We start from the raw sequence: 27,565 nt of genomic DNA, 5'->3' as shown, positions 1-27,565 counted from the left end.
TGATCTCAGTTCACTTCAACTTCTGCCTCCTAGGCTCAAGCAATCCCCACACCTCAGCCTCTGAGTAGCTGGGATTACAGGCACATGCCACCATGCCTGGCTAATTTTTGAATTTTTAGTAGAGGTGGGGTTTCAATATGTTGGCCAGGCTGGCCTTGAACTCCTGACCTCAAGTGATCCACCCGCCTCTGGCTTCCAAAGTGCTGGGATTACAGGCATAAGCCACCAAACCCGGCCCGCAAATATACCCTTCAAACTACTTAATGCACTTTGTGATTATCTTCATTTAGTGTTCCCCCTTATCATCCCTGATACGGATTAGGAAACTATGAAAGACTTAGAATATAATCAGGAAGAGCAACACCATGGGGCAAGGCTGAAGTCAATAGGCTCAACTCAAACAGTGAGGTAATCAAGCAGTATGACTTAGCACAAATCATTTAACCTCCTTAGGGCATAGTTTTCTCTTCTGCAAAATGAAATTAATCCCACTTGCCTCATAGATTGTTATGAGATTATCTGTGAAGTCCATTGTGTATGTTAAACCATGACGTGCTACAGACACATCAAATGTTTTGTGGGATCTTATTTAAAACAATGTTATTAAACTCTTTTTGCCAAAGGCATGAGACCTAATATCTTTTCTTCATTAAAAGGGGAGATCTACAAGTGTTGGGGAGCTGTTAAAGGCAGGAAAGCACTAAAAATCAGATTTTCTTCTTGTTGCAATCAGAAGGATGGAAAAAGAACTGAATCAGAAAGGGCAGTTATTTAATTTTAATTTCTTTAACTTTATGCTTTGAATGGATCAAATCACCTTTGTTCCACCTGTAATAGGTATCCCACACTTTGGAAAACACCTTAGAGAATCCTTCCACTTCTAGAATTCTATGGTTCTTGTCACTAAATGATCTAGCCAAAGCCACAACTTCAGCAACTGGGAAATTGGGCTCAAAGGATAAGATTCTTACTGTCTTTCAGCTTCCTAACCACTGAAACCCATAATCAGCTAAATTGCACATCATTCCTCAATTTTTAGAAAGTGACAGATTGGATACAAGTGTCAGACAGATCCCTCATGCAGATAATGACCTTGGGGAGCTGGGATTTCATTACAGATGGTTGGTAGTAGAAAACAAATTTTGAGTTGTTATCAAAATTAAACACCTGCAGATGAATGATTACATCTATCAAGTGGCTAATCAGGAGAATCCTTTCTGTTGTTAATCATGTACAACATCAATGGATGCTTGATACTGAAGAGCTCTATAGACTCATCCACTTGGGTTACCTGTCAGGTAGACACATGCCTAGGTCTGAGTGTGCATGTCTTTACTTTTCAAGAAAATTAATTGGCAACACAAATGTGATCATGCCATCCTTCTGCTTAAATCTTTCAATGGCTTTTCATTGTCTGGGGGATAAAACCTAAAATCTCTATAACGTCACCTTCGAAGTCCCCATTGATCTTGTTCCTGCTCACTCCCTCTGCAGCCCTATTTTGTTCCACTCTTTAATTTGCTTTCTCAGCTCCAGCCATACTGACCTTTTATTTTTTCCAAACTGGGCCCATTCATGCCATTTCGTCTGCTGTTAATTCTCTTACCCAACCCTACCAACCCCAACTATGCCGATGCTCATTCATTCATGTCTCAGATAAAACAGCACTTCCTCAGAAGAGTCTTCCCTGAACCCCTTAGATTAGATTAAATTCATTTGCCACAAGTTTCTTTACTTCTTTTCCACTGACAATCATGGTTGAATTGCTGATTCACATCTTTCTACTCCACTGGTGCATAAGCTCATTGAAGGCTGGGAGTGCATATATAGCTCCTCTGTTCCTGGCACATCCTAGTGTGTGGCACTAAGTAGACATTCACTATGCATTTGTTGAATGACTAAACAAATGAATGAATGAATAAATGATTTCAATCTGGTCCACAGCTAAGACCACAGAATCATTCAGAATAATTAAGATAATCTTAAGAGAGGATTTGGCATTATTTTTTTCAACCATCCTCTTTTTCTAAATATAAATTTTTTTTAGACAGGTTCTGGCCCTGTCACCCAGGCTGGAGTGCAGTGGTGTGATCTTGGCTCACTGCCTCCCTGGCTGAAGTGGTCCTCCCACCTCAGCATCTCAAGTAGCTGGGACTACAGGCATGCACCACCATGCCCAACTAACTTTTTAAATTTTTTGTAGAGACAAAGTCTCACTGTATTGCCAAGGCTGATCTCGAACTCCTGGGCTCAGGTGATCCACCTGCCTCAGCTTCCCAAAGTCCTAGGATTACAGGTGGGAGCCACAGTGCCCAGCCTAAATGTGTATATTCTTGATATAGAATATACACTTTGTAGGAGTGGGGGAAGGGGTGACCCAGTCCTTCATCCAGCTGAGTGACCTTCCAGGATCGTTGGTATAGTCCTGTCATGAGGAATGCCACCCTCCTCAAAGCAGGGCCATCATAATATCCAACCTAGTGAGTTCAGATGAACCTCACATAAACTGGAGCACAGCAGGTCACTGATAAGAAGACATCTTCTGGCTCCCCATCTTGCCTTCTTTTAAGCAATAAAGTTTTTCTTGCTTTCATGTTGAAGGAAACTCCACAACTGCCTGCTCAAATAGCCACAGTGATGAAGAGAGGCAGTGGTGTGATCCACTTGGTGTAAACAGAGGCAACATGGTGTGGTGGAAAGAGCCCTGGACAAATATTCAGAAGAACTAGGTTCTGATTCTGATAACTCTGTCACTTATTTGTTGCGTGAACTTAAACATTGGGCTCTTTCTGGCTAAAATGTCCTGCCTGTGAAATAGAACAAATCCCTTGTCTATAGAGTTCCTGTAATCAGCAACTGAGATAATTTATTTTACTATTTTATTTAGGAGTTGCTGATACTTTAATTATGAAAGCAATTTGTAATCTGTAAAATACTAGGTAAATTATGGTAATTTTGCCACTGGTCCTTGAGAGCAGTTTTGTCTTCCTGAATTTAAATAGTATCTGTTATTAATAAAGTGAGTTTTCCATCCCTGCCATTTAATGGCTAGTAGAGAAAGCCCTGTTCTCACCAGGGTAATGAGAAAGAAGTTAAAAATTAGTTGTGATTGATTCATATTTAAGACATAATTGAGCATTGATTAGATATGATGCCTCTTTCCTGTTTTCATTTATTCTTCTATAGCATAAAAGTATCTTTTAATCAGGCAGCTAATACTATACTGTCTTACTGTTCACTGTAACAGAACAAAAGCTTGACGTAAATAATGAATACCTAAATCATAGGCCAGACAGGCTGCTGCCTACATGAAATGATTTTTGGGAAAACATAATTCCTATTTCTGCTTATGGATGTTCAAAAACTTATTAATGAAATACTGTCTTTATTTCCACAATTAGACATGACGCTGCAATTTAAATCTCCTGCAGTACTGTTAGGAGATTTATATAGTACTGTTAAGAACAGTACTATAGCAAATTCTTAACAAGAAGATGCAGATGGTTAATTGAAGGTAATTTTTGATAAGCAAACTTGAGGAAAAGGGCATTAGACACATGCCATATGAAAAACAGAAAAATAAAATTAAAATATGTAAATCAATCTTTCGACTGTTGGTTTCTGAGAGAGTAAAATTGATTTATTTTTAAATGCCTTGCTTTTTAAATTATCACAGGCGGGATACCTTTTGTGAGAAAAATACAGAAATAACTCCTATCTAAAGTAAACCCTCATTATTTCCTCTTGAGCTCTGTATTTCTCAGAAATACTTGCTGAATAGGAGTTGGTTGACCTGCTTTTGACATTGTTTTTACTTGCAGACTGATAAATGAATCTTTGAGGGACCAGCTGTTGGTGACTATACAGAAGACTTTCACATACACTCGAACCCAAGCTCAGCATCTGTTCATCATCCTCATGGAGTGCATGAAGAAGAAGGAATTGGTAGGTAATTCCGCATGGGTGGCCAGCTGTCTCCACATTTTCAGTCATTTTCTTGAATCACACAACATTTTCTCAAATCATGCAACATTCTCTCTTTCTGGCCGAGCTTACAGCTCTCCTCAGGCTCCATTGGCTCCAGTAGCTTCCTCTCCTAAGTAACTAAGACACTGCTTTTACTGCCTTCGAGTTAATAAGGTGTGTGCAGCAGAGTTTTAGCATCATTTCCTTTTGGAGCTCATCCAAACGCTCTGACTGCCTCAACAAAATGAGTTGAAGTGATAAAATTGGTCCCCTCCTGGAGAACGCTTCAGCTTGATCTTCTTAGGTTTCGGATTTCATTTTGCTTGGAAGTCATGAACCACTGAGGTGCTTTCTGTCAAATAGCTTTAATGACAAAGGGTCCAGGCTGTTACACTAATCTGTACAGGTAGAAAACGGAGAAACATAAGAAATCCTGGAGGAATCTAAAATCAGAGCAAAATGTGTTTCTAAAATCAGAGCAAAATGTCTTACAAATGTGGTATGATCAGAGACCCTGCTAGGGTGAACAAAATCATGTGATTTTGTTCTCTGCTTACTCAAACATTTAACAAGAACTTGCTATCTGCCAAGCAGGGAGCAAGATCTTTATGCATATAAACTCATATGACCTTTGCAACTGTCCTGATGAGAGAGGTACAATTATTACCCTCATCTTACAGATGAGGAAACCCGGCTCATTTGATTAGTAAATGAGGAGCTAAGACTCAAAACCAGTGATGTTTAACCTCTGTATGGAGTATTTTTATTCAGAAAGTGTCTCACTGAAGCCAATGCAGTGGATCACCCACTCTGGGTAGATGCCCCCAGGCCTCAGCCAGAGAGACTATTCTCAAAGGTCAGTTAAACCCAACTGCTGAGAGAGATAGCAAAATGTTTAGAAAAAAAAAAAAAAGGAATTGATTAGAGTGGGCAAGACCCATCTCCAAAAAGCATCCACACAGCCTTTGTGAGAAACCTTTCAGCAGCTTCCAGGTTTGGGATGAGATGAGTGAAGATGAGAAGAATAGGACAATACCTAGGTACACAGTCTGGCTGCCCCATATATAGAAGCCAGCGAGCGGGTGGGGCACACGGTCATGGCTGCTGTCATTCCAGGAGAACTCTACTACGCACGAAGGTACCACCCACATGTGACATCCTCCCATCTCGGATGTCGTTAGCTCATGGTGTTGCAGCTCGAATACTTCCTCTATCCAGGGAGGCACTGAAGCCCTGAGCTTCTACATGCCACAGTAGGGATTATCTTCTGAGTACTGATGCTTTTCCAATGCTGAGGCCAATTCTAACTGACAAACCTTACCAGGACTATACATTTCAGCAGTCCTGCAAATTTGCTAGAAAGGCAGCTAGGAGCAAAATTCTAGGAACCAGTGGGAAGTCATAAAACCAAATGAGGCTGAATGAACTTTTCTAGGTATTTCATGGGACTGTTTTTGCAGAATTCTGCCTAAATTTCATGTTGTTTAATCGTGGTCTCTGCTGAAAAAGTTAACTGCATTTTATGCAAGTTATTTGTTATAAGAAATGTGAGGTATTCCTAGCTCCAGGCTCAGGAAATGAGTTCTTCTTTAAAAAAATTATTTTTTAAAATTATACTTTAAGTTCTGGGATACTTGTGTAGAACATTCAGGTTTGTTAAATAGGTATACATGTGCTGCACCAATCAACCCATCATCTACATTAGATATTTCTCCTAATGCTATCCCTCCCCTAGCCCCCCACCCCCTGAGAGGCCCTGGTGTGCGATGTTACCCTCCCTGTGTCCATGTGTTCTTACTGTTCAGCTCCAGCTTATGAGTGAGAACATGTGGTATTTTGTTTTCTGTTCTTGTGTTTGTTTGCTGAGAATGATGGTTTCCAGCTTCATCCATGTCCCTGCAAAAGACATGAACTCATCCTTTTTTATGGCTGCATAGTATTCCATGGTGTATATGTGCCACAATTTATTTATCCAGTCTATCACTGATGGGCATTTGGGTTGGTTCCAAGTCTTTGCTATCGTGAACAGTGCTGCAATAAAAATACTTGTGCAAGTGTCTTTATAGTAGAATGATTTATAATCCTTTGGGTACATACCCAGTAATGGGATTGCTGGTTCAAATGGTATTTCTGGTTCTAGATCCTTGAGGAAATGCCACACTGTCTTCCAGAATGATTGAACTAATATACACTCCCACCAACAGTGTAAAAGTGTTTCTATTTCTCCACATCCTCTCCAGCATCTGTTGTTTCCTGACTTTTTAATGATTGCCATTCTAACTGGAGTGAGATGCTATCTCATTGTAGTTTTGATTTGCATTTCTCTAATGACCAGTGATGATGAGCTTTTTTCCATATGTTTGTTAGCTGCGTTAAGTGTCTTCTTTTGAGGATTGTCTGTTCATATCCTTTGCCCACTTTTTGACGGGGTTGTTTGTTTTTTTCTTGTAAACGTGTTTAAGTTTTGTATAGATTCTGGATATTAGCCCTTTGTCAGATGGATAGATTGCAAAAATTTTATCTCATTCTGTAGGTTGTCTGTTCATTCTGATGATAGTTTCTTTTGCTATGCAGAAGCTCTTTAGTTTGATTAGATCCCATTTGTCAATTTTGGCTTGTGTTGCCATTGCTTTTGATGTTTTAGTCATGAAGTCCTTGCCCATGCCTATGTCCTGAATGGTATTGCCTAGGTTTTCTTCTAGGGTTTTTATGGTTTTAGGTCCAACATTTAAGTCTTTAATCCATCTTGAATTGATTTTTGTATAAGGTGTAAGGAAGGGGTTCAGTTTCAGTTTTCTGCATATGGCTATCCAGTTTTCCCAACACCATTTATTAAATAGGGAATCCTTTCCCCATTGCTTGTTTTTGTCAGGTTTGTCAAAGATCAGATCGTTGTAGATTTGTGGCATTATTTCTGAGGCCTCTGTTCTGTTCCAGTGGTGTATATATCTGTTTTGGCACCACTACCATGCTGTTATGGTTACTGTAGCCTCCCAGTATAGTTTGAAGCCAGGTAGCGTGATGCCTCCAGCTTTGTTCTTTTTGCTTAGGATTGTCTTGGCTATGTGGGCTCTTTTTTGGTTCCATATGAAATTAAAAGTAGTTTTTCCTAATTCTGTGAAGAAAGTCAATGGTAGCTTGATGGGGATAGCATTAAATCTATAAATTACTTTTGGCAGTATGACTATTTTCACAATATTGATTCTTCCTATCCATGAGCATGGAATGTTTTTCCATTTGTTTGTGTCCTTTCTTATTTCCTTGAGTAGTGGTTTGTAGTTCTCCTTGAATAGGTCCTTCACATCCCTTGTAAGTTGGATTCCTAGGTATTTTATTCTCTTTGTAGCAATTGTGAATAGGAGTTCACTCATGATTTGGCTCTCTGTTTGTCTGTTATTGTTATATAGGGATGCTTGTGATTTTTGCACATTGATTTTGAATCCTGAGACTTTGCTGAAGTTGCTTATCAGCTTAAGGAGATTTTGGGCTGAGACGATGGGGTTTTCTAAACATACAATCATGTCATGTACAAACACAGACAATTTGACTTCCTCTCTTCCTATTTGAATACGCTTTATTTCTTTCTCTTGCCCAATTGACCTGGCCAGAACTTCCAATACTATGTTGAATAGGAGTGGTGAGAGAGGGCATCCCTGTCTTGTGCCAGTTCTCAAAGGGAATGCTTCCAGCTTTTGCACATTCAGTATGATATTGGCTGTGGGTTTGTCATAAATAGCTTTTATTATTTTGAGATACATTCTATCAATACCTAGTTTACTGAGAGTTTTTAGCATGAAGGGGTGTTAAATTTTATCAAAGCCCTTTTCTGCATCTATTGAGATAATCATGTGGTTTTTGTCATTGGTTCTGTTTATGTGTTGGATTATGTTTATTGATATGCATATGTTGAACCAGACCAGGGATGAAGCTGACTTTATCGTGGTGGATAAGCTTTCTGATGTGCTGCTGGATTTGATTTGCCAGTATTTTATTGAGGATTTTCTCACTGATGTTCATCAGGGATATTGGCCTGAAATTTTCCTTTTTTGTTGTTGTGTCTCTGCCAGGTTTTGGTATCAGGATGATGCTGGCTTCATAAAACGAGTTATAGAGGAGTCCCTCTTTTTCTATTTTTTGGAATAGATTCAGAAGGAATGGTACCAGCTCCTCTTTGTACCTCTGGTAGAATTTGGCTGTGAATTCATCTGGCCCTGGGCTTTTATTGGTTGGTAGGCTATTAATTACTGCCTCAATTTCAGAACTTGTTTTTGGTCTATTCAGGGATTTGACTTCTTCCTGGTTTAGTCTTGGGAGGGCGTATGTGTCCAGGAATTTATCCATTTCTTCTATATTTTCTAGTTTATTTGCATAGATGTGTTTATAGTATTCTCTGATGGTAGTTTGTACATCTGTGGGATCAGTGGTGATATCCCCTTTATCATTTTTATTGTGTCTATTCGATTCTTCTCTCTTTTCTTCTTTATTAGTCTGTCTAGCAGTCTATTTTGTTGATCATTTCAGAAAAACCACCTCCTGGATTCATTGATTTTTTTGAAGTGTTTTTCGTGTCTCTATCTCCTTCAGTTCTGCTCTGATCTTAGTTATTTCTTGTCTTCTGCTAGCTTTTGAATTTGTTTGCTCTTGCTTCTCTGGTTCTTTTAATTGCGATGTTAGGGTGTCGATTTTAGATCTTTTCCACTTTCTCCTGTGGGCATTTAGTGCTACATATTTACCTCTAAACACTGCTTTAGCTGTGTCCCAGAGATTCTGGTACGTTGTGTCTTTGTTCTTACTGGTTTCAAAGAACTTGTTTATTTCTGCCTTAATTTCATTATTTACCCAGTAGTCGTTCAGGAGCAGGTTGTTCAGTTTCCATGTAGTTGTATGGTTTGAGTGAGTTCTTTAATCCTGAGTTCTAATTTGACTGCACTGTGGTCTGAGAGACTGTTGGTTTCCGTTCTTTTGAGTTTCCTGAGGAGTGTTTTATTTCCAATTATGTGGCCAATTTTAGAATAAGTGTGATGCGGTGCTGAGAAGAATGTACATTCTGTTGATTTGGGGTGGAAAGTTCTGTAGATGTCTATTAGGTCTGCTTGGTCCAGAGGTGAGTTCAAGTCATGAATATCCTTGTTATTTTTTTATCTCATTGATCTGTCTAATATTGACAATGGGGGTGTTAAAATCTCCCACTATTATTGTGTGGGAGTCTAAGTCTCTTTGTAGGTCTCTAAGAACTTGCTTTATGAATCTGGGTGCTCCTGTATTGGGTGCATATATATTTAGGATAGTTAGCTTGTCTTGTTGCATTGATCCCTTTACCATTATGTAATGCCCTTCTTTGTTTTTTCGGTCTCGGTTGGTTTAAAGTCTGTTTTATCAGAGATTAGGATTATAAACCCTGCTTTTTTGTTTTTTTTGTTTGTTTTTGTTTTGTTTTGTTTTGTTTGCTTTCCATTTGCTTGGTAAATATTCCTCCATCCCTTTATTTTGAGCCTATGTGTGTCTTTGCATGTGAGATAGGTCTCCAGAATACAGCATACCGATGAGTCTCAAAGTTTGTGTCTTTTAATTGGGGCATTTAGCCTGTTTACATTTAAGGTTAATGTTGCTATATGTGAATTTGATCCTGTTATTATGATGCTAGCTGGTTATTTTGCCCGTTAGTTAATGCAGTTTCTTCATAGTGTCAATAGGTCTTTACAATTTGGTATGTTTTTGCAGTGGCTAGTACTGGTTTTTCCTTTCCATATTTAGCGCCTCCTTCAGGAGCTCTGGTGAGGCAGGCCTGGTGGTGACAAAATCTCCCAGCATTTGCTTGTCTGTAAAAGATTTTATTTCTTCTTCACTTGTGAAGCTTAGTTTGGCTGGATATGAAATTCTGGGTTGAAAATTCTTTTCTTTAAGAATGTCGATGGCCGGGTCTGGTGGCTCACACCTGTAATCCCAGCACTTTGGGAGGCCGAGGCAGGCGGATCACCTGAGGTCAGGAGTTCGAGACCAGCCTCAACATGAAGAAACCCCGTCTCTACTAAAAATACAAAATTAGCCGGGCATGGTGGTGCATGCCTGTAATCCCAGCTACTCAGGAGGCTGAGGCAGGAGAATTGCTTGAACCTGGGAGGCAGAGGTTGCAGTGAGCCAAGATCATGCCATTGCACTCCAGCCTGGGCAACAAGAGCGAAACTCCATCTCCAAAAAAAAAAAAAAGAATGTTGAATATTGGCCCCCATTCTCTTCTGACTTGTAGGGTTTCTGCGGAGAGATCTTCTGTTAGTCTGATGGGCTTCCCTTTGTGGGTAACCTGACCTTTCTTTCTGGCTGCCCTTAACATTTTTTCCTTCATTTCAACCTTGGTGAATCTGACAATTATGTGTCTTGTGGTTGCTCTTCTTGAGGAGTATCTTTGTGGTGTTCTCTGTATTTCCTAAATTTGAATGTTGGCCTGTGTGTTCTTAAGAAGCAACAATTTATCTCCACATCCGGGCAAAAATAAGTTAGAAATTTTTAAATCAAAATTACAGTATAACTATAATTTCAAATTTTGAGGGACTACTTATGTACATGGACGGTACCAGATGCCTTGAAAATAAGGTAGACACAAAGTAGGCATTGTTTTCTCCTCTTGCAGAGACAAGGAAAGGAACTGAGGCTAAGAGAGGTGGGGAGATGTACAGAGCCAGGAAGAGCCAAGCTAGGACTGTCTTGCTGCAGACCCCGTGTTTTCTACTCATTAGGCTCCATAGCATAGCACACAAAACAAGGAGGCATTGCATCGTCATAGAGTTTCTCTTTTCTCTTGTATCCTTCAAGTTTCTTTTGATTCCCCTTACAAACTATATGGGGTATAATATTATGAGGCCAGTCTAACCGTTGCCAAGTTTGGCTAAGCTATTTGGTTCTAGAGTTGATGTGATATCTTTCTCATCCCAGCACTTAACTGACTTACATAATAAAGCCTGCACTATGGATGGGCCTCTGGGTGCTGTGGCCTCATGAAAAATATTCCCTGGGCCTGCAATTTCAAGCTAGGTGGGGCAGCCCCTCACGACATCTTCACACAGATACTGCTGTACTTTCTGCTCATTTCATATAGATCTTGAAGTAATTCACTCCTCTGCTTACTCAAAACCTGTCCCCTTTAAAAAAGATAGGTCCTTCTAGAAATCAACCTATAACCTAAGTTCTATCATTGTTTTCAGGTAAAGAATAGAAATTAAAGAGATAAAGACTATCTGCAACATATTCATTGGGGAACAGATGTCACAGATCAGATGTCTCTCTATTATCTTCCTCCTCAAGAGGGGTTTGGTCATAAAGAATATCAAGACCAGGAAAAGGGGACACAGGTGACCATGCACACAGTGAGGCTGATTATGTGCATAGAAACCAAGAGCCTTATGTTCCAGAGGGCAGTGCCAGCTCCTTTTCTGCTGCTGCCTCCTGGAGCTCCTGTCTGTCCTCTGAGCTCCTGCAGAAGCCTTCCTCTATCGCCACTGCCAAACCACCAACCCCAGACTGGGGCAGTACATTTGCTTTTGATACCCTGGAGTGTAGGAGGACCACTTAGACTTGGCATTGTAAGCCCCATGGTTGTGTGGCCCTAAACAAGTCATGGTGATGACAACACCAGCCCTGCTCCTAGTTCACCACCTTCTGCTTCCACACTGGTGAGTCCTATCATTCACTCTACTCCCCTGACAGCGGCCAGACCTCCTAGCGTCCAATCAGTTCATCTTTCCATTTCTTCCCAGTCACACCTGGGAATCATGCCTCCACTCAAAGCCTTGCTGCTCCAAAATCTAAGACTTTAAAATCTACTCCCCACTCCAAAGATAACTGCCCTACCTCCCCCCTCCCACCACTTCATTCATATTGAACCTGAACCTGGATGCCAGGCTTCTCTGTTCACGAGCCTGAGATCAAACGCCTCAAGCAATCTGTGTAAAAACATGTTCAAAATAGTTTTCTTTACCTTGTGCCTTGTTGAGAGTTTGCACTATGTCTTTCCACCCTCCCTGCTCCCATCTGGGTTCCCTCACCTGTCAATTACTCTATTCTATGTGCCTGATGCTTCTCGTACCACTCCCAAAGCTGAGTCATTCAGTCTAATTGGATTAGGCTTTCAATAACACCAGCCAATCCTCGTATTTATCTCTAGTCAATAGGCTCTCCTATTCCCTACAATCATTGTTCTAAATCTTTTATATTCTTTCCAAGTTTCAAACCACAGCCACTTCCTCTTATTCTTTTTATATATGTTAAATACTAATCTTTTGTTGGTTGTGTTACAGATACATTTTCTCAGTTTGGGGCTTGTTTTTTCACTTTTTTTGATGTACTTTGATAAATAGAAATTCTCAAATTTAATGTACAGTCAGGCATTACTTAACAATGGGGATATATCCTGAGAAATGTGTCATTAGGCTATTTCATTGTTGTGTGAACATCATAGTGTATTTCTTTTCTTTTTTTTGAGACAGAGTCTTGCTCTGTCGCCCAGGATGGAGTGCAGTGGTGTGATGTCGGCTCACTGCAACCTCCACCTCCCAAGTTCAAGCAATTCTCCTGCCTCAGCCTCCCAAGTAGCTTTTGGGAGTGCCAACCACCACACTCAGCTAATTTTTGTACTTTTAGTAGAGATGGGGTTTCACCATGTTGGCCAGGCTGGTCTTGAACTCCTGACCTCAGGTGATCTGCCCACCTCGGCCTGCCAAAGTGCTGAGAGTACAGGCATGAGCCACCACTCCCAGCCCATAGAGTGTAATTCTAAAAACCTAGACAACATAGCCTACTACACACCTAGGTTCTATGGTATAGCCTATTTGTCCCTAGGCTACAAATTTGAATGGCATATTACAGTTCTGAATACTGTAGGCAACTGTAACACAATGTTAGGTATTTGTGTATCTAAACATATCTAAAGATAAAAAGATACAATAAAAATACAATATTATAATCTCATGGCACCACTGTCACATACACAATACATCATTGACTGAAACGTCATTATGCAGCCTATGACTGCAGCTAAATGTATCAGCCTTTTTTATGTTTTGTGCTTTTTGCCTCATGTTTAATAAACTCTTCTTTACCAAAATATCAAAAAGATATTCTTCTATATATTCTACTAAAATGTGTCTAGTTTCACCTTCAACATTAAACCTGTAACCCATCCATAACTGATTTTTTTTGTGTATGATATGAAGTGGAGATCCATGTAGATGACTAGCTGACCTTGCGTCATTTATTTAATGGTCCATCCTTATGTCGCATAATGCCAGCTCTTTCATAAAGCAGGTTTCCACCTATACATGAGCCTTTCTGGCTTCCCTACTTGTCTAGTCCTTCCCTGGTGCCCTATTTTTCTAATCAGTGTAACTTTATAATAAGCCCTGATGTATGATAGGGCAAGTCACACTCCTTGTGACACTTCTCCAGAGTTGCCAACTATTTTAGCCCTTTGCTCTTATAGATAAATTTTAAACTCAGCCTTTCAGGTTGCATGTACATGTGTATGCGCGCGCGCGCGCACACACACACACACACACACACACACACACACACACACACACACACACACTGTTGAGATGTGGATTGAAACTGCATTGAAATTAAAGATTCATTCTCCTCATGCTCAACAGAAGACTCCTCCTTAAAGGAAATCAAAGGTCATAAATGTAAGCTCCTCTACTTTCTTCTCCTTTATCCCAGTGTGACTATATCTTGAGCCATGCCTTTTTTTTCTATGTAGTATCAGAGGAAGTAGTGCCCCTCTTCTTCTCTACAGTCATTCTCTAAACAGGCAACACATCCCATCACTTTGCATTTCCTCCATAATTTTTTCTCTAGAAAATGTACATTTCTTGAACAGTAACTCTATTACTCCCTCTGCATTGGGTTCTACTTCTGTCTTTTCTACCTTCCTAAAATTTCAATGACATTGTACTTTTCTGCTAGTCCTCCAACTTTTCTGTTTCTCCTCCTCTTTTCCTTACGTTTCTCATTACTTTCATCCATAATGTGGACATTACCTGAAACTTCTTTTTTCTCAGTCCTTTTGTTCTTTGTGTCATTTTTTGAAGAAGTAATTTTAAGTCTCCTATCATGGGAGATTGTGTCAATTTCTCTTTAAAATTCTGTCAAATTTTTGCTTTATGTATTTTGAGATGATGTTGTTAGGCTTATAAGTTTTTAGACTAGCTATATTTCCTGGTGAAATATTTTTCTATCATTATTCAGAGACTTTGTTTATTCCTGACAATGCTTTGTCTTGCATTTCATTTCATCTGATATTAATCCACTTACATCAACTTCTTTTAGTTCGTACTTTCCCAATATAGGACATTTTCATGCTTTTTCTCCTTTTATTTTCAGCTTTTCTGCACCCTATATGTTAGATGAGTTTCTTAAAAATTATATATAGCTTTTGTTTTTAACGTCATATTAGATGCTCTATTTTTAGTGGTAAATTAGTCTAATTGCATGTATTCTGTGCTAATTACCCTGAATACATTTTAAATTTCATTCATTTATTCAGTAAGATAGTCTCAATTGCTAAGTCTCATTTAGGTATTTCCTTATAAGACCTTTTTTTTTTTTCTTGGTAATATCATACATCTCCTGTTGGCTTCACCAACAACCTCATTGGAGATTATTCACAAAACTATTTCTGGCCTTAACCTTGCTCTCTCAATCTCTCCAACCATACTTACAGCTTGCGCTTGGATGTCTCACCTGGTTGTCTCGTCATTACTTCAAGTTCTACATGTCCAGAAACAAAATCAGCCTATCCAACATCCTCCAGTGCTTCCCAGCCCTACATCTCCACAATGTTTCCCCTTCCAATTCTCGTTTCATTTTCTCAGTCTTGAAAGCTTCAGTTCCCCTATCCTCATTGCCACCGCCACCAGCCAATTGTGGCCAAGTTATTCTGAGTTTCTTTCGGCAGTGTCTCTCACATCTGCCTGCTCTACTTCGATTCCAGTGCCATCATCCTCATTCTGAGCCTCAGTTTTCTTCACCAGGGCCATTACTCTGTGTTCCTACCTAGTCCCAGAAAGGAAACCTTGTTGTCTGTCCTCCAAGCTATTCCAAACACTCCTCCAGGCTTGATGCTTGAGGCCCAGGCCTGACTTGTTAACTTATTTGCTCAGATAGTTTCAAGGACTTGCTTTTGCTACTAACAAGTGTCCAAACTATTTAATGTGGCTTTGAGGCCCTCCACAGTCTGAATGCAGTCTGGATGAATCCCCACACTTCAATTACTTCTTTTTACCACCCTGTTTCCCAGCCTATAATTTAGGCTTTCCAAACTCCCATACTTTCTTTCATCTGGGAAAAGATTCTCTTCTGCTGCCATTTCCACTTCCATGATCACATGAAACTGCGAGCATCCAGCTATGACATCTCACAACTGCTTACTCTGATTTTCAACAGAAAAATGCATAGTACAATCTTACAGTACAGCCTAGTAGCCTATGTCTAAGCTGCGTGTTGGTGAAAGCTGTTATATATCGTTGCTTCTGTAGGGACCCTGACACTATTTATGATGTGCGTAACCTCTGCTAGAATTAGTTGGTTATCACAACCCAGATTAAATAGTAATTATTTTAAATGAGATACATGCAGTGACTGTCAAGAAAGAGAAAGGAAGAGAGATTTCAATAATTAGCCATTGAATCTACATCTGGGTCAAATGGACTTTATCCATTATGCTTCTCTTACCAAATGAAATATTCATATGCCAGACTTCTTTTTCCATAAAGGTGAAATGTTAGCTCATATTTAATTATGTTAGAAGATAAAAATTAAATAAAGCACGAATAACTTTATACCAATTTGTTGCCTTCTCCAGGATGACTTCATTTTAGTACTACTTGTTTATGAAATATAGGAAATAATCTGACTTTTATTCTTCTTATCTCAGAACCTAGAGCACATTTCAGTTTTCTGACTTTATTACTACACAGTTTTTGGTAAATTGCTTTAACAATTTTAATAAGCAGGATGTTATTTACTATTTCTTAACTCTGCCCTATAGTTTCCAAAATAAGATAGTTGTCCAATGGCTTATTTTGGATTTGTGCTAGTTATTGAGTATTTATTGGTGCACTCATGGCCTGAATGTAAAAAGAAAAAAAATAGCTTTCTAATCATAATTTAAGTGGTAAAATTACTTTAACGTCTTAATTCCTAGACTATATCTTGGGGGTTTTTGTAATGTACCTCGCAGACTTTATAGTATGGTAACATGGACTTCCTACTTCCCTACAGCTGGTTCTCATTTGCAATAATGATTCTAAAATCAAGAAGCAAACATTGCATACTAGAGTACTAAGTCTGTTTATTCAGTACATCAATTCAGGATACACAAGAATGAAAATAAACCAACTTTTGTCTGGACACAGTGGCTCATGCCCATAGTCCCAGGACATTGGGACTGTATATTAGTAATGGGAGGCTGAGAAGTGTGGATCACTTGAGCCCAGGAGTTTGAGACCAGCCTAGGCAACATAGCAAAACCCTATCTCCACAAAAAAAATACAGAAATGAACTGGTTGTGTTGGCATGCAACCGGAGTTCTAGCTAAATCTCTTAAGCCTGGGAGTTTGGGGCTGCAGTGAGCTGAGATCACACCACTGCACTCCAGCCCAGGGGACAGAGCAAGACCCTGTCTCAAAAAAATAAAAAACAAAATAAACTAATTTTTTCTTAACCCTCGTCAGTCAAGAAGTCTCCAGGGACCATTGTTTTAGTCTGTTCAGGCTGCTATAATGAAATACCATAATCTAGGTAGTTTATAAACAACAGAGATTTATTGTTCACAGTTCTGGAGGCTGGACAGTCCAAGATCAAGACTCTGGCAGATTCAGTATCTGGTTAGGGCCCACTTTCTCGTAAATGGTACATTCTTGCTGCATCTTCATGTGGTGGAGGGGGCAAGCAAGCTTCCTCAGGCCTTTTTCGTAAGGGCACTAATCCCATTCATCAGGGCAAAGACCTCAGGACCTAATCACTTCTCAAAGGCCCCACCTCCTAATACTATCATCTTGGTGATTAAGAGTCAATATGAATTTGAAGGAGACACAAATATTCAAATCCTAGCAATCACATATCCACCAGTTGACATGGAGAAGAAGTACTTTGAGGAGAGTTAGAAGAGACTTGGCATCTACCTTTATTTAGAACATAATAGACATACAACATGAGAAGCTAAACTTAAGGGCTAGGTCACTGTTGTACCCTGGCAGCTATGGCTCTAATACCTCATTAACACCACATTCTCTCTTGGGCAGGGCAGCATAAGGCAAGCAAAAGCCAAGGACTTACAAATTGTGCTAATGGAATAAATGGAAGCAAAGATATTAGGCCATAACTTTTGCAACCTTTTTAGTAAATTTTCTATAGCATTTGAGGCTATCAACTTCCTCTTTCTTCTTAAAGTTACTTTCCTGTGAATTTCATGTTAGACTCTCAATTTTCTGTTTCTTTAACACTTCTGTTACCATTTGTTTTCTTTTTCCATTGTTAGATCCTCTTCTTCCTCACCACTCTAAAAATAAATGTTTAACTATGATCAATTATTGGCTCTTTTCCCTTTCATTCACTATTGTGACTTCAATTACCATTTTAATCAAGATAATTCCCAAATGCACAAATATCTAGCCTTGCTTTCCCCTGGCTCCTGCATTTCCAAGTTCCACTCTCACTCATACCCTCATTCTTCCTTGCCTAGACTATTGCTATTCCCTATGAACTTGGTCGCCTAGTCCAATATCCCCCTAACAATGCATCCTACACACTGCAGGGGTTGGCAAACTTTTCTGTAAAGTGGCAGATAGTAAGTATTTCAAGTTTTGCATACCAGATACAGTCTCTGTCACATACTGTTCTTTGTTTGCTTTCTTGTTTTTGAACAACCCTTTAAAATGTAAAAATCATTCTCAGGTTACTGGTCACAGAAAAACAGACCATAAAACAAATTTGACCCACAGGCAGTGGTTTGCTGGCCCCTTGCCATAGAAATGCCTGATAGCCCTTGTTGAAGCACAGAACCAATCATATCACTCTTTTGAACGTAAAGTAGAATGTTTTGCCTGCAGTTTCAGTCCAAAATTCCATTGCTTCTTTATGGATTCATCACACTAACCAAACAGATCTCCTTACAGTCATTTTTAAATTTTCTATTTCCCTGATATTGTTCAAGCTTAGAGCACTCTCTTTAGTCATATTCAATTACCAAACCCGTGCACATGTCTGCATTTGCATGTGTACACACACACACACACCTGGAATCCATTTGCCTCCTTTATTTGTAACTTTCTTGTGCTTGTCATTTATACTTTATTTATGTATATCTCTAACTTCCCATGCAAGCTCTTAAGAGCAGAATCTGTCTGATTCATTATTCTATGTTTCTCTTGTACTCACTTTTGCCTAGTTGTGCTTAATATCATAGCATATATATAGCAGACACTCAATAAATCTTTAACAAATAAGTGAGTGAATGAATGAATGAATTCAGATGTATATACATTAATGGGGCTGATACATATTCAGTATCTATAAATTTTGTTAAAATCTCTACTAACACAGAGGCACAGCTCCTTAGGGAGTCATAAATTTGGTTTATGGGCTTGGATTTGATCCAGGCCCATCCACTTAAATTGTGCAACCCATGGGAAGCAATCTAATGTGGCAATTGTAACCAAGTACTAGAAGCAGACAAACCTGGATTCCAACTCTGCCTTCATCACTCAAGTAGCTTAACCTGCATTGAGCCCTGGGATCCTCAGCTTTAAAATAGAGTGATAATTCCCATGTGTTCTGGAATCTATCATACTTGGGGCTTCCTCCTTTTGGTTGAAACAATGGTTTGATTTTTTTTTACCCCAATGTGATAAATATAGTTATACCAGAAGATTTTGATCCAAGGGTTGCACATGCCCTGTATCCCCTACCAATTGCAAGGCCAAGAAGTATCCCAATGTTACATGGCTTCCCATTCTCTGCAGGCCCTCAGGCTACAGAGCTGACGACTTTCCCTTAGACACTGGAGAAGACAGCAGAGGGCTATTGTCTGTGCCTTACAGATAAGTCTCTGGAGGCCAACTCCACTACCTCCCAGTACAAGGAGATTTATTATGTTTATGAGAGTATGTGTGAAGCTGATGTTGGCATCCAATGACAACTCTCTTTCCACATTTAGGAAACTGAAGGCCAACTATCTACCTACCCCTTAATAGACTCATAAAAACCAAGCAAGCATGATTTTTAAATAAGTTTCATCTCTCTCTCTCTCTCTCTCTCTCTGTTTTTGTTTTTCAAATGGGCATCCTGTCTGTATCTGAGAAAGGAACAAAAAGTCGAAGATGTTTCTTGCTTAGAAAAATGGTAGTCTCTTACTACCATAAGCAGGAGATGGTCAGTGTTACTTGTCAGGTCAGGGTGTCAGCACCACATAGGATTTACTCCTCAGAATTGTCAGTACCCAACACCCTGTTGCTGGGAGAGCTAAGTATTTAACTCTGATGTGTAAAGAATGTTGGCACAGTGTGTGGCTCCTAGGAAGCACTCAGTAATTGTTAACTGTAACTACAATTATTCTACATATAACTACAGGGACTCATTAGATTATAAACACAGATGTTTCTTGTTCCTCTCATATTTTATCCAGTCTTAGTTAAAATTGTCAGTAGGGCATACTTTGACTTCAGGACTTTCGATTTCATCTTCAGGTTCCATCTTCCCTTCTTGATCATTTTAGTGGACAGGGTACAATTAAGAGGAAGCATATATAATTTCCCAGATGATAAGAAAGAAGCAAGCCAATGCCTTCCCTGTTTAACACCAATGACAAAACAAGCTCAATTGGCCTACTTATAGTCATAAGAGGAATCAAGCCTTTTATAGATGGGAAGGGACTTTTTTACACCAAATGGCTCAAAGTCATAGAGTCATGCATCAAGTTTAGAAAAGTTTTTTCTCCAACATAATGTTTGGGGAGAAATTGAAATGTTCTTTGAGATAGATACTGAATTGTACCAAAACTCCTTTTAAATGTTATCTGAATATCATCTTAATAACATAATTCAAGTCCAAACATTTTAAATAAAATAGTGGAAAGAAGATAAAGAGGAAGAATTTTTCAACTCAAAATGTTTTCCGTATGAGTTTTCAACATACAGTGGGTCACTGATAAATTTTTGAGGTTCTGAAACTCTTTTAAATTATTAGAATATCATTATTTTAGAAATAAGGTTGATGCAGTCTTTATAGTCAATTTGCCTGATTCAAATCCCAGATCTGCCATTTAATATACAATACTGGGCAAGTTATTTAACCTCCGTATGTCTTAGTTTTCACCTCCAGAAAATTTAGATAATAATAATACCAATATTATGTCATTACTTATAAGGATTAAATGAGTTAACATATGCAAAAAACAATAAGCACTCAATAAATATTTTTATTGTAACAATGGTGATGATGATGTCTATATAGCACTTTATGTTTAGCACAGATCATTTTCATGTTATCTTGTTTGATACAAAAATCAACCTTGCTGAGGTCGGTATTAGTATCTCCATTTTACAGAGAGAAACCAAGACTCAAAGACAATAAGTTACAAGTTCAAGCTTGTTTAGTTAGTAGCAACTTTGTACTTAAACCAAGAGCATCTTTCTGCAAATCCTGGGCTCTTTCTACCTTTTTTCATCTGATTCAATATTCTAATTATTAAGTATGATCAAGTTAAAATGACGGTAAAGTAGGAGCCCATTTTCTCTTTATTCCCAGAACAATCTGAATGAATATTAAACTGTGAGATTCACATGGAAAGAAAAGACCATTTTGTTGGCTGGTATTCTTGGAATACCTTCTGCCCCTATATACCAGTCATTATATTTACAAGGAAAATGAAGGCACAGTGTCCAGACCACCCTGTAGTCTCACAAAATATTCATTGACGTGAAAAACAAATATCAAGAAAATGTAATTTACACAATTCCATTCCAAAACAGCCAATAATAATAATAATAACACCTTTCATCTACTGATGTGTAATAATGCTTATAGTGTATAAAGCTCTGTTCCATTCCTTGTGTCATTTGAGCTGCATAACAATGAGACAAGAATTATGCTAGCTCATCAGAACAATGAAACAGATTGGGGAAGACTATACAAATGAAGAGCAAATATCCATTTGATTTTCTTTTTCTTTCTCTTTTTTCTTTTTACTTTTTTTTTTTTGAGACAGAGATTTTGCTCTTGTCACCCAGGCTGAGGTGCAGTGGCATGATCTCAGCTCACTGCCACCTCTGCCTCCCAGGTTCAAGTGATTCTTCTGCCTCAGCCTCCCAAGTAGCTGGAATTACAGGCACCCACCACCATGCCCAGCTCATTTTTGTATTTTTAGTAGAGACGGGGTTTCACCATGTTGTCCAGGCTGGTCTCGAACTCCTGACCTCGGGTGATTCACCCACCTTGGCCTCCCAAAGAGCTGGGATTACGTGAGCCACTGTGCCCGGCCCCATTTGATTTTCAATCCCACTAGCCAAGCCTCAAATTCTCTCTCATAACCAATGAACACACATAGAATTTTAATACCTCTGGCCTTTTTCAGCCATATTCCTCAAAAAATATTGGTAGATTAGAGGCAGTGGAAAAATATAACTACTCTCTTTTACTGAGAAAAATTAATGAAAGTAATACAATCAATTAAATAAAAATAAAATATTATTGTATTATTTTATTCCTTTTAATAGCTTACTTACTAAATAATTTGCATGACAATTGGTAGTTTGAGTTCTAACTCTAGGAAGGTCTTCCTAGAGACTGGAGGAGTACATCTCACACCTACTCTGCATTTCCACTCTGCATCCCTAGGCAGAATCTCACCAGGCCTGCCTAAACTACCCATCCCTGGCTGACCTCAGTGCCCCCTAGTCTCTCCATTCCAGTTGAAACAGGACAGCTGGATGACTCCCATTAAGGAGCAACTCTCATAATGTAACCTCCCACCCAATCGGAAACCCACATTACCCTCGCTGTGCTTCCCAAGGTAAGGAATGGCTATCACTGATTGCATAGGAGATCATTTTAGGTGGAATGTAAATTCATCTTTTTGTTTTCCGAGATATGTTTTCATTTGCATATATATGAAATAATTATAATAAAACACAAAGCCAAGGGTATTAGACCTAAATAAATAAAAGTTTCAAAGGGGAATTAATTTGAAGAAAAATATCTACTTGTAGTGTTGGTATATCAATATGACAAAAAGGTGAAGATTATACAAGCATGACTGTAGGTTGGAACATACTAGCCTTCAGAATTAAGTTTCAGTTCCTTAGCCAGACATTCAAGACCCTCCGTGATCCAGACTTAGTCTATCCTTCCAGCCACAACTCGAAGTACTACTTGTACTCTAGTCTAACCAAATGTACTTTTTGAAAAATCTGTGAATATCCCACCTGTGTGACTTTGTTCATAGTGTTCTCTGTGTCAAAATGTCCTCTCCCTATAATTCTCCATCTCTATCCACCCTCCAGATATAGTGTGAAGGCTGCCTCATTCATGATCTCTTCCCAGAAATCCACAATGAAAAATAGTTTCTCTCAAAGGAATTGGTGATTGATTGTGGTGGCTAAGGAAAGATAGTGGTCAAGAATGATAGTTCCACTGAGCAATACAGGGAAGCCCAGGAATGGAACTTGATTTAGGAAGAAGATTATAATACATGTGTGGAATGACTACAACTGATAAAGCCTCATCAAGTCTATTATCTCTCAGATTTCATCATCAAAATAACCTCTCATGGTAGGCAGGACAACTGTTACTATGTATGTGTTATTTGTGGTGACCTCAAACTCAAAGATGCTGTGAGATTTGTCTAAGTCTACACAGCTCCAGACAGCAAAAATAGAACATAAGCCTTAACCTTCCTTAAATTAATACTAATAATAATTGCATTATTTTTCTAATTATAAAAATGTTTTAAGGGAAGGATAGAGAGAGATTTGTTAAAGGATACAAAATCACAGTTAGGTAGGGGGAATAAGTTCTAGTGTTCTATACCGCTGGAGGATAACTGGTTAATAACACATAGTTCAAACAGCTAGAAGGAGGACATTGAATGTTCCCAACACAGAGCAATGATAAATATTTGATGTGATGGATATGCTAATTACCCTGATCTGATCACTATACATTATATATATCAAAACATCATTATGTATCCCATAAATATGTAGTTATATATCTATTTTTAAAAAAATTTTCATTGTAGAAATATAGAAAATAAATAAACACATGAGAAAGGTAAATAATCATGATTATAACTTTGGTGCATTTTCCATTTTTTCTATACTAATTTGTATATAATTGAGATATTGTTTACATATATGTTTATATCCTGAATTTTTCACTTAATAACATACATAATTATGTTCCTATGTCATTAAAATGTGGTCTTAATGAACAAGTAATAGGTCATAACTTTTCAGAAATTTATTTATTTTAAAAAATTAAAAAACTTTAAAAAACAAAAGGAAAGTCAGGTGCAGGCTTAAGCCACATATATTTTTGTTGTTGTTTTCTTTCTTATTTCAATAGGTTTTTGGGGGAACAGATGGTGTTTGGTTACATGAATATGTTCTTTAGTGGTGATTTGTGAGATTTTGGTGCACCCATCACCCGGGCAGTGTACACTGTATCCAATGTATAGCCTTTTATCCCTCACCCCCTTCCCACCCTTTCCCCAAGTACCCAAAGTCCGTTGTATCATTCTTACGTTTTTGCATCCTCACAGCTTAGCTCCCAGTTATGAGAGAGAATGTAAGATGTTTTGTTTTCCATTCCTGAGTTACTTCACTTAGAATAATGGTCTCCAATTCCATACAGGTTGCTATGAATGCCATCATTCCATTCCTTTCTATGGCTGAGTAGCGTTCTGTGATATATATACATATACCACGATTTCTTTGTCCACTTGTTGATTGATGGACATTTGGGCTGGTTCAATATTTTCACAATTGCAAATTGTGCTGCTAAAAAGATGCATGTGCAGGTATCTTTTTTTGTATAATGACTTTTCATCTGGGTAGATACCCAGTAGTGTGATTCCTGGATCAAATAGTAGTTCTACTTTTAGTTCTTTAAGGAATATCCACAGTGTTTTTCATAGTGGTTGTACTAGATTACATTCCCACCAACAGTGTTAAAACAGTGTTAAGAGTGTTCTGTTTTCACCACATCCCTGTCAAAATCTATTTTTTTAAAATCTTGATTTTGGCCATTCTGGCAGGAGTAAGGTGGTATTGCATTGTGGTTTTGATTTGCATTTCCCTTTTAATTAGTGATGCTGAGCATTTTTTCATATGTGTTGGTGGTCATTTGTATATCTTCTTTCGAGAATTGTATATTCATGTCCATAGTCCACTTTTTGATGGGATTGTTTGTTTTTTCCTTGCTGATTTGTTTGAGTTTCTTGTAGATTCTGGATATTAGTCCTTTGTCAGATGTATAAACTGCAAAGATTTTCTCCCACTGTGTGGGTTGTCTGTTTACTCTGCTGATTGTTTGTTTTGCTGTGCAAAAGCTTTTTAGTTTAAGTCCCATCTATTCATCTTTGTTTTTGTTGCATTTGCTTTCGTGTTCTTGTCGTGAAGTCTTTGCCTGAGCCAATGTCTAGAAGGGTTTTTCCGATGTTATCTCCTAGAACTGTTGTGGTTTCAGGTCTGAGATTTAAGTCCTTGATTCATCTTGAGTTGATTTTTGTATAAGGTAAGAGATGAGAATCCAGTTTCATTCTTCTACATGTGATTGCCAATTATCCCATCATCATTTGTTGAATAGAATGTCCTTTCCCCATTTTATGCTTTTGTTTGCTTTGTTAAAGATCAATTGGCTTTATTTCTGGGTTCTCTATCATGTTCCATTGGTTTATGTGCCATTTTTATGCCAGTACCATGCTGTTTTGGTGACTATGGCATTAGAGTATAGTTTGAAGTCAGGTAATGTGATGCCTCCAGATTTGTTCTTTTTGCTTAGTCTTGCCTTGGCTATGCAAGCTCTTTTTTCATTCCACATGAATTTTAAGATTGTTTTTTCTAGGTCTGTGAAGAATGATGGTGGTATGCAATGGGAATTGCATTGAATTTTTAGGCTGCTTTAGACTGCTTTTGGCAGTATGTTCATTTTCACAATATTGATTCTACCTATTTATAAGCATAGGATGTGTTCCTATGTTTTTGTGTCATCTATGATTTCTTTCAGCGGTGTTTTGTAGTTTTGTTGTAGAAGTCTTTCACTTCCTTGATTAGGTATATTCCTAAGTATTTTATTTTTTTGACAGCCATTGTGAAAAGGGTTGAGCACTTGATTTTATTCTCAGCTTGGTCGTTGATGGTGTATGGCAGAGCTACTGATTTGTGTACATTAATTTTGTATCTTGAAACTTTGCTTAATTCATTTACCAGTTCTGAGAGCTTTTTGGAGGAATCTGTAGAGTTTTCTAGGTATATGATCATATCATCAGCAAATGGCAACAGTTTGACTTCCTGTTTACCGATTTGGATGCCCTTTATTTCCTTCTCTTGTCTGATTGTTCTGGCTAGGGCTTTCCAGTGCTATGTTGAATAGAAGTGGTAAGAGTGGGCATCCAGCTGGGCCTGGTGCTCATGCCTGTAATCCCAGCACTTTGGGAGGCCAAGACGGGCAGATCACTTGAGGCCAGTAGTTCGAGACCAGCCTAGCCAACATGGTGAAATTCCACCTCTACTAAAAATACAAAAATTTACCAGACATGGTGGCAGGTGCCTCTAATCCCACCTAATCAGGAGAATCCCTCCTGAGGCAGGAGAATCACTTGAACCTGGAAGGCAGAAGTTGCAGTGAATTGAGATGGTTGCAGTGAATTGAGATGGTGCCACTGCACTCCAGCCTGGGCAACAGAGTGAGACCTTGACTCAAAAAAAAAAATAAATAATAAAAAAGTGGGCATCCTTGTCTTGTTCCAGTTCTCAGGGGAATGCTTTCAACTTTTCCTCATTCAGTATTATGTTGGCTGTGTGTTTGTCATAGATGGCTTATGTTACACTGAGGTATGTTCCTTGTGTGCCAATTTTGCTGAGAGTTCTAATCATAAAGTGATGCTGGATTTTGTCAAATACTTCTTCTGCATCTATTGAGATGATCATGTGATTTCTGTTTTTAATTCTGTTGATGTGGTGTATCACATTTATCGACTTGCATATGTTGTACCATCCTTGCATCCCTGTTATCAAATCTACTTGATCATGATGTATTATCTTTTTGATATGCTGTTGCATTTGGTTAGCTAGTATTTTCTTAAGGATTTTTGCATCTGTGCTCATCAGGGATATCGGTCTGTAGTTTTCCTTTTTTGTTATGTCATTTCCTGGTTTTGGTATTAGGGTGATACTGGCTTCACAGAATAATACAGAGAAGATTCCCTCTTTATCTTTTGAAATAATATCAATAGGATTGGTACCCATTCTTCTTTAAATATCTGATAGAATTCAGCTGTAAATCCATCTGGTCCTGGAAGTTTTCTTGGTTGGCAATTTTTTTTTTATTACCATTTCAATCTTGCTGCTTGTTATTGGTCTGTTCATAGTTTCTATATCTTCCTGGTTTAATCTAGGGAGTGCTGTATATTTTCAGAAATTTATCCATCTCCTCCACGTTTTCTAGCTTATGCACATAAAGGTGTTCATGTAGCCTTGAATGATCTTTTGTATTTCTGTGATATCAGTCGTAATATCTCCAGTTTCATTTCTAATTGAGCTTATTTGAATCCTCACTGTTCTTGGTTAATCTCACTGATAGTATGTCAATTTTGTTTATCTTTTCAAAGAACTAGCTTTTTGTTTCATTGATCTTTCATATTTTGTTTGTTTCAATTTCATTCAGCTCTGCCCTGATCTTTGTTATTTCTTTTCTTCTGCCGAGTTTGGGTTTGGTTTGTTCTTGTTTCTCTAGTTTCTTGATGTGTGACCTTAGATTGTCTGTGCTCTTTCTGACTTTTTGATCTAGGCTTTAATGCTATGAAGTTTCTTCTTAGCACTGCCTTTGCTGTATTCCAGAGGTTTTGATAGGTTGTGTCACTATTATTCACTTTAAAGAATTTTTACATTTCCATCTTGATTTTTTTTTATTATTATACTTTAAGTTTTAGGGTACATGTGCACAATGTGCAGGTTAGTTACATATGTATACATGTGACATGCTGGTGCGCTGCACCCATGAGTTGGTGGGTCCATCTTGATTTTATGGTTCACCCAATAATCATTCAGGGGCTGGTTATTTAATTTCCATGTACATGCATGGTTTTGTGGGTTCCTTTGGAGTTGATTTCCAATTTTATTCCACTGTGGTCTGAGAGAGTAGTTGATATAATTTCAATTTTCTTAAATTTATGAGACTTGTTTTGTGGCCTATCATATGGTCTATCTTGGAGAATGTTCCATGTGCTGATGAATAGAACGTATAGTCTGCCTTTGTTGGGTAGAATGTTCTGTAAATATCTGTTAAGTCCATTTGTTCTAAGACATAGTTTAAATCCATCGTTTCTTTG

The 27,565-nt window shown here is 38.4% G+C and overlaps 1 protein-coding gene across 19 annotated transcripts in view; it reads left to right on the top strand.

Annotated features, from left to right (window-relative positions):
• TRPM3 (transient receptor potential cation channel subfamily M member 3) overlaps window positions 1-27,565 on the top strand; it is a 917,912-nt gene that overhangs the window by 681,426 nt on the left and 208,921 nt on the right. For all 19 annotated transcript variants that reach the window (NM_001366143.2, NM_001366141.2, NM_001366142.2 and 16 more), the window contains one exon: window positions 3,822-3,945. In NM_001366143.2, coding sequence (NP_001353072.1) covers window positions 3,822-3,945 — 124 coding nt within the window. The remainder of the gene's footprint in view (window positions 1-3,821; window positions 3,946-27,565) is intronic.

The sequence above is a fragment of the Homo sapiens genome, chromosome 9, assembly GCF_000001405.40.
Source record: "Homo sapiens chromosome 9, GRCh38.p14 Primary Assembly".
NCBI classification, from domain to species: Eukaryota; Metazoa; Chordata; class Mammalia; order Primates; family Hominidae; genus Homo; species Homo sapiens.
Note: the sequence above shows the minus strand (reverse complement) of the source record. Positions and strands in the feature narration are given on the sequence as shown.